Genomic DNA, 7454 nt, shown 5'->3' on the forward strand with positions numbered 1-7454 from the left:
TCAGACAGAGTCACAGGTGCTGCGGCACAAAGCTGTCAGCATATTAAGGATGGTGAGGACCAAGGGTGTGTGGGCAGTAGCATTTGCTGCACTGTTTTTGCCCAAATATTCAAGTAAGTTCGATCATTGGGTCCCCTGGTTTCTGCATTCCCTAAGAAGCCCCATTTAAGAAGGTCCGTTCCCAGGACTTCCCACTCGAAACCAAGTACTGACTCCATAAACTCCCTTTCCACCAATTCCTACAGCCCATTCTCACCCTTGTGTCACAGCGACAGTGACCTCCAACCCCTCTGCATGTGGAACCCTGGCCCAGGTTGTTGGCTCATTCTGACTCAGCCTCCAAGTGTCTGTTTATGAGACTTCCTTCCTCTAGGAGTCATCCTTGAGAGACTCCTCATGCACCCTTTCCCCAACTTCATCCATACCCTAACCCCTCCAACTGAACCTCAAACACTCACTACCTAATCCCCAAACACACACTGCCTACCCCAAATCTGGCTGTACCCTGACCCTCAAACCTATGAACACAATAAGCAAACACCCTCACACTGCAAGCACAGCTGCACCTCGAATCCTCAATCACAAGTGACCCCAAATCATGCTGATCCCCCAATTCCAACTACACACTGATGCCTCAGTTTCATCCCTAACCACACACTGGCCCAAGACACAACCACATTGGAACATTTAGCCACGTGTTTCTCTCTGAACTCAGTCACACATGGCGATGCCCCAACCCCTAATACACACCGGCTCCCTGTCCCAGACAACACACACGCAAACCCTCTCAATTCTAGAAGACACTGATCCACCAAGCCCCAGCTGTTTGCCAGCTGCCCAACCACAGGCCGACCCCAATCTCAATCATGGCCTGTCACTCCCATCTCCAGCCTCCCATGGATCCTAACCCCCCTAATTAGAGCCCCTGGCACAGACACCCCAAGCTAAACACTCACTGACTCCATGAACCTTAACCAAACAATGACCTCAATCCCAGCCAACCCAAGACCTTAAAACAAGGCCACACCCTTAACTCTAGAACTTCACCTCATACGAAGACTTACCAAGCCTTACCAAAGCTGATTCACCAAACTTCACCTCAGACCAACCCTCAGTGTCTCAAGCTTACACTGATCTTCAAACCCCATCCATGCCCTAACCTCCAGCCCAAGTCTACCTAACAAAGACATGTCAACCCTGAAGCCAAATGTCACACTAATGCTCAACCTGGCTACAAGCAGAACACCCCGTGCCAAACCTCACTGCCCCTCCACTTAAAGAGAGGGCACTCTGATGGCAGCCCTAAGCTTGCCCACGGTTCACCGATCCCCTAGCCACATTGAACCCCCAGCTACACTGGGCCTTCAAGTCCTGTACACACACCAACCCACCACAAAACATGCCCAGCCCAACCTTATTCAGTGCCCTTCAATCTCACCCACACCTCAAGGAACCTTTGATTCCATTCTCACAGAGACTACCCAAGTTGAACTGCACCCTTCTTCTCTAGCACAGCTTCACCCCAGGGACCCCGTGACCCCACACAAGCCCCCACCACCACCACAGGGATCATGTTCAAAGGGGGACATCTGCAGCCTCAGTGGTCAGCAGCACCACTCCTGGCTCCTGAAACCCTCCTTCGTGTTCATCTCCGCAACTCAGGGAAGGCACCGGAAGCTGTTGTCTAGCAGCACTGGGACAGCCCAACAATGCTCCTCCTTTTGTCTGTACCTCTCTCGACTACCAAGTTCCTCTCCAAAACACTGGCCTCTTCCACGCGGTGCAATTCCCTTGTTCCTAGTTCAGGTCCCTAGGACCCACCTTGGTAGGCTATACTGAGCTGGTCGTGCTTGTCTGTGCAGCCTGCAGGGCAGAGGGGTCCAGAGCCTGGGCAGTTGTCCTGCTCAGTTGCCCACAGGTTTTATGATCTTGGCTGGTCACTTCTCCTCTCTGGGACTTGTTTGATCCTGTGCATCAGAGGTCAGCACACTACTGCCTGCCAATCAAAACCCACCCTGCCCACTCAGTGACCTATTATCCAAGGCTGCCTTTGCACTGCAGTGGCAGAGAACAGTAGTTTCAAAAAAACTATGCGGGGCTCAAAGCCGAAAATATTGACTATCTGACCCTTACAGAAAAAGCTTGCAGCCCCCCTGTTTTGCATCCCCCTACCTTCCTTTTAGAGGATGTAATCATACTGGAGAGTTCTCCGTGTGAAGGCTTGAAAACAGGATACCCCTCTTCCTTCTCTGGGCTTCTCCAGGAAGATGCTCTTTAATAACGTGTTGATTATTCATTATGCTGATAATAAAACCTGTGATTTCCTGCCCCTCTCCCTGTGGAGGAGGGGCTAAAGGAAGACCACAGGGTCAGAGACAAGGCCTCAGGGGTTTGATAGCAATATTGGGATGCCCCAGTCTTTGTTTATTGTGGAGGTTCTTCCGACATTATTGCTTTTGTTTATTGAAACCCAACCCCCATGGTACTTAGCACCCTTGGCAGTGGGCCCAGACCTGCCCAGGCCCCAGCCTGCCACTCCTGGCCAAGAAGGGAGCCGGGTAGGGAGAGCACTGGCCAGGCCCAATTCTGGAGTCCTGTTTGCTTACAGCCTAAGGCGCGCCCGCTGGCCCCCCTTCTTAACATCTTGCTTACAAGACAAGCATTTGGAGACAATTTCTCATCAGACCTTCTTGTAAACATCCTCCTGGATGCAGCCGGCCTGAGGAGCCCTTATTAGAAACACCTGTGCCCGATGCAGGCCTGGTGAGTGACAGCTTGCAGAGCCACCACTGCCCCCCTGCCAGGCCTGGGGCTGGTGAAATGGGTGGGATGGGAGATGGGGATGAGGGTTCGGGTGATGAACCTCGGGAGGATGAGCCTCCTCCCCACATGGGCTTACTCCCGCAGGGCCAGTGTTGCTGAGGCAGTGCCCCTCCCCTTTCAGCATGGGAGACTCGGTGGAGTCAGGCAGGCCTAGTGCACAGAAATCTCTCATCAGTTCATTCTTGTGGTGCCCCAATTTCCCTACATTAGTCACTCCTTCGAGTTACACATGGTCCTCTTCAGGTTCTCTAAATAAAATGCCAGCTACCCTTCTTCCTCATGCCTGCATCCCTGGGAGCGTTGACACATTGAGTTTCTCACCACTTTAAATGAATGAGAATATTCAAGACTTTCAGCACTGTCCAAGCTTGAGGAGTGATACCTGGGGAGAGGCAGATCTGAGGCTCCCTACATGGACTTTTCAGGCTGGAAGGAACATCGCCATGCTGGTAGTTACGGAAAAAAAGCACAGCCCGAGCCCACTGGCCACGTCTTCCTCCCCAGGGCAGTTGCAAGCCTTCCTCCCTGTACCAACCAAACGTTGTAGCTGGTGTTGATCCAAATCTCCATTGTGCTAAGAGAAGGCAGGAGGAGAAAGGAAGGAGTGGGAGGAAGAGGACCTACCTAAACAGGGCCCTGCACTCCTACATCAATCCTTGGCCACTTATGTCCTGCCACTGGTCTTTTTGTTTTTGTTTTTGTTTTTTGAGACAGAGTTTCACTCTTGTCACCCAGGCTGGAGGAGTGCAATGGCACATTGTGGCTCACTGCAAACTCCGCCTCCTGGGTTCAAGGGACTCTCCTGCCTCAGCCTCCTGAGCAGCTGGGATTACAAGTGTGCACCACCACAGCTGGCTAATTTTTGTATTTTTAGTGGAGACAGGGTTTCACCACGTTGGCCAGGCTGGCCTTAAACTCCTGACCTCTTATGATCCGCCACCCTTGGCCTCCCAAAGTGCTGGGATTACAGGTGTGAGCCACCGCGCCTGGCCTGCCACTGGTCTTTGATGGGACCTTTGGGCACTCCCTTCAGCCTTCCCATGGCCACCTCACTTGGAACTCCTAGCCAAACACCTGAAGCGCTTGCTGCAATCGTGTTTGCTGAATTCCCCTGCCACTTGCCTGCTGCCCTGTCCTAGGACCCGCTGAGGCCAGGTCCTGCATTGGGCCATCTCTCAGCCTCATGGGGGCCTTCTTCTGCTTCTGGGGCTGGACATCTTGATGTGGCCTCCCTGCCTAAGGACTGGATTGCTCTAGATGGAGTAGAGGCTCGAGGGTCTCTCAGGGCCCAACTGAGACAGCCCACACTCCACCCAGCCTCACCTCTGACCTCCCAGGGGACCACATTGCCCTGAGTGGGAAAGAAGAGAGCTGGAAGGAAACCTGTCTCTAATGAGGTGGGCAAAAAGAGGAAGCACACGCTCCGTGAAATAAATTAGTGGAATCTCAATTCCGATAAATCCAGTTTCTTAAAAAAAAAAAAAAAAAAAAAAAGCAACTGGTAGGAAAAGAAAATGTAATTTATGCTCATTGAAAGGAGGCCAGGTTTAAATTGATGAAGTCTCCTGTTTATGTAATAAATCCATTTCCATTCATGTCACCAATATATTTATCCATACATCCTGGTCCAAGTCAAATCTTCATTATTTTATTATTCAACGGGGGGCAGAGGGAAGGGCAGGGGAACAGAGTTCTGTGTCGAATTAATAAAGTCTCACTCTCTCCCCCAGATCCCCCCTCACACAGGGACAATTTATTCCTAAGAAGGAGGCAGAAGAACTGGATGCAATTTATGTGCTTTGAAAGAGACCCAAACGTAATTAGGCAAAGTCTCAAGTTCACCGAGAAATAAATCCCAGAGAAAGTAGCCGGGGGTAAAATTTACGTTCCCTGAAAGTCTGAAAGCTTGTCTCCCACTGGTTCCGCCCCTCCCCCAGGCCACCGTGCTTGGTTCCCCAAGCCTGCCAGGCCCCAGGATTCTCTTCAGTGCCCCCACTTCCATGGGGCCATGTGCCAATAGGCCCCCCAGGGGGAGTCGCCCTGCCTCTGCCTCTCTCCCCACCCGCCGTGGTCCTCAGGAGATCTGAGGGGCTAGTTATGGCAGCTGATGGGACTCAGACTTCTCACCCTGCCCAGTGCATTCACCCCAGAGAAAGGAAGAGCTACCAGGAGTCTCTGCCACCACAGCCAGACAGACGGTTTTTGGGAACAAGGCAGTTTCCTTGTGATACGCCAGCCCCTCCTCAGGGTCCAGCAAGTCTTGCTTTATTCCACTCCTGCAGCTCCACTTTGTTCACACTGGGCAGAGGGTCAGGAGAGGGAGTGCCTTGTTCCCAGGAAGTCAGGAGAGCGTGGCTGGGATAAGGTCTACCTCAAGGAGGGCTGTGCTGCTGAGGTGGACCCTTGGGTGGGGTGGACAGAGCAGAGCTTCCCTACGCCGGAAGCACACAGACTACCAGGAGCTCTGTGTGGGGAGCGCCCACCTGCTCCAGGTTCTCAGTTTGGAAACCTCCATTTTCCTCCTCCAGCCACCAGACAGGTGCCTTGGAACGTAGCTTAGTGTGGCCCTGGGAGTGCAGATGACCTTGGGGCTGGTCTGCCCTTGGCGAAAGGCTTCTGAGCACAGCACACAGGGCTGGGAGTCTGCCCTGCTGGGGGTCATGTTGCTCCTGGCACCGCGAAGAGACCACTTCAACCCACTGTGCCCCAGGGCCTCCTGGTAGAGGGACAGGACCATGTCCATCACCATCCTGGCCCTGCTCCCTGCAACTAGCAGGCATCCTGCCCCTGGCAATGAAGGCAATTGCCCTCGTAAAGGGGACTGGACATTGATGATGAGGACTGACCGAGCCCAGGCTGGGCCAACAGAGAGGGCAGACGTGGCAAGTGACCCACAAGGACTCCTGCTGGGGGCAGGACTGGAAGGGAAGGAGTTAGGGGCAGCTCCCAGGTCTCTGGCTTGAGCAACAGAGTGACTCGGGCAGCTGTTTGCTGCGATAGGGAGTGCTGGGGGCAGAGTTGGGTGGGCACCAAAGATGAGTTTACCTGAGGAGGAGCAGGTTTGGGGGAAGGGCAGGAGGGATAAGCTGAGTTCAGTTTTCTGCAAGAGAGATGGCCAAGACTGCTGTACTTGTGGGGAGGTGTCCAGCTGGGACACAACAAGGCCTTCAGAAGGGAGCACCTGAGAGTTGTTGCCACAGAGATGGTCACTGATTCCAGGCGCAGCCACACTCGTCCAGGGTGTGTGGAGTGAGCCTGGCCAAGACCACAGGACAGAGGGCCTGCAAAGGACCACAGAAGGCACAGCCAGTGGAAGCAGGGGGCATCACGAAGGGGGACGGGTCCAACAGTGTCCAATGCTGAGGGAGGACAGTGCACTGAAGACCAAGATACTTGCATCACTGTTGGTAGTGGAGGATCCAGATGGTCTCGGCAAGAGCCCTTTGGAGGAGAAATGGGGCAGAGCAGAGGCCAGATCTTGGAGCAGGGAAGGAGAAAGCTGGCTGCAGTGAAGCCGAGGAGCAAGCAGAGCTTTGGGGATGAGGTTAGATGCTGGAGCATATTTGCAGCCTGAACAATCACTGACACAGGATGGCAACATGCAGTGCTGGGACCAGGGCTTGCAGAAGGCACCAGGGGGCAGGCTCCCAGGATAGAAGACGACTGGAAGCTTGGAGAGCATGTGAGGCCCTTTTCACCTGAGATGGGAAGGAAGGCAGCTCCGGGCATGAGATGGAGTCATGTGCCCAGCTTGGGGGAGGGACAGGGAAGTGGCATGTTAAAAGCACTCTCTCAGAATGTTGGGGGCACTGCATATTGAGACCCAGGTCCTGCCTTTTCTTTCCAAGCTGATGTTCTTTGTAAGGATGAATCTTGGATTTTCAGCTTTTGCCGGCCACTGGCTGACAAGGTGACCTGTTGAAGGCTGGCCACTGGGCCAGGGCTGGGGAATGTCCAGACTCTAGATAGCACCTGGAAGTACTAGATTCAGGGTCTACTCTCCTTTGCTGTGGTTCAGGGAAGGCTCCTCAGGTGCAGGGTCCCAGCTACAGAGCCTTTTGAGCTTCCTGTATCGAGCAAGCACCAATTACCCATACAAATTAGCAGTGAACTGGATGCCAGGAATGCTGATGCCTTTCTCAAAAAGCCCCAGCCTGGGCACCAACCATGGGCATACTGCCTCCAGAAGACTGCTTCCCATGAGCCACACCTCTGGGGAACAGTCACTGGAACAGCAGGGGGCCAACTGATCCAACGTCCATGTTATTGCTCAACAGCAGCCCGCGGCATATGGTGACGGGAAATGGGCTCACAGTTCAGCCAAAGGGCTGCTGTCTTTGATGATGCAACAACTGCCTTATCTGTGACATGGCAATCTAGAGGGTTCAGAAGGGGAGCTCTTCCACCCTCAGCAACCTCTGTTGCTCAAGCCAGAAATCTGGGAGCTGCCCCTAACTCCTTCCCCCCAAGTCCTGCCCCCAGCAGGAGTCCTGTGGGTCACTTGCCATGTCTGCCTCTCTCTGTGGGCCCAGCCTGGGCTTGGTCAGTCCTCATCATCATGCCCAACCCCCTTTAGGAGGGCATTTGCCTTCATTGCCAGGGGCAGGAGGCCTGCTAGTTGGGGGGAGGAG

General features: G+C 53.7%; 2 annotated features.

Moving 5' to 3' along the window:
- Positions 2258 to 2758: an enhancer, noted in NCBI's record as "H3K4me1 hESC enhancer chr2:72157000-72157500 (GRCh37/hg19 assembly coordinates)". NCBI's record gives its function as "activates a minimal SCP1, AML or CMV promoter by ChIP-STARR-seq in naive H9 embryonic stem cells {active_cell/tissue: H9 hESC(naive)}" and the evidence as "EXISTENCE:reporter gene assay evidence [ECO:0000049][PMID:30033119]".
- Positions 4325 to 5204: an enhancer, noted in NCBI's record as "H3K4me1 hESC enhancer chr2:72159067-72159946 (GRCh37/hg19 assembly coordinates)". NCBI's record gives its function as "activates a minimal SCP1, AML or CMV promoter by ChIP-STARR-seq in primed H9 embryonic stem cells {active_cell/tissue: H9 hESC(primed)}" and the evidence as "EXISTENCE:reporter gene assay evidence [ECO:0000049][PMID:30033119]".

Source organism: Homo sapiens, chromosome 2 (genome assembly GCF_000001405.40).
Source record: "Homo sapiens chromosome 2, GRCh38.p14 Primary Assembly".
Classification (NCBI taxonomy): Eukaryota; Metazoa; Chordata; class Mammalia; order Primates; family Hominidae; genus Homo; species Homo sapiens.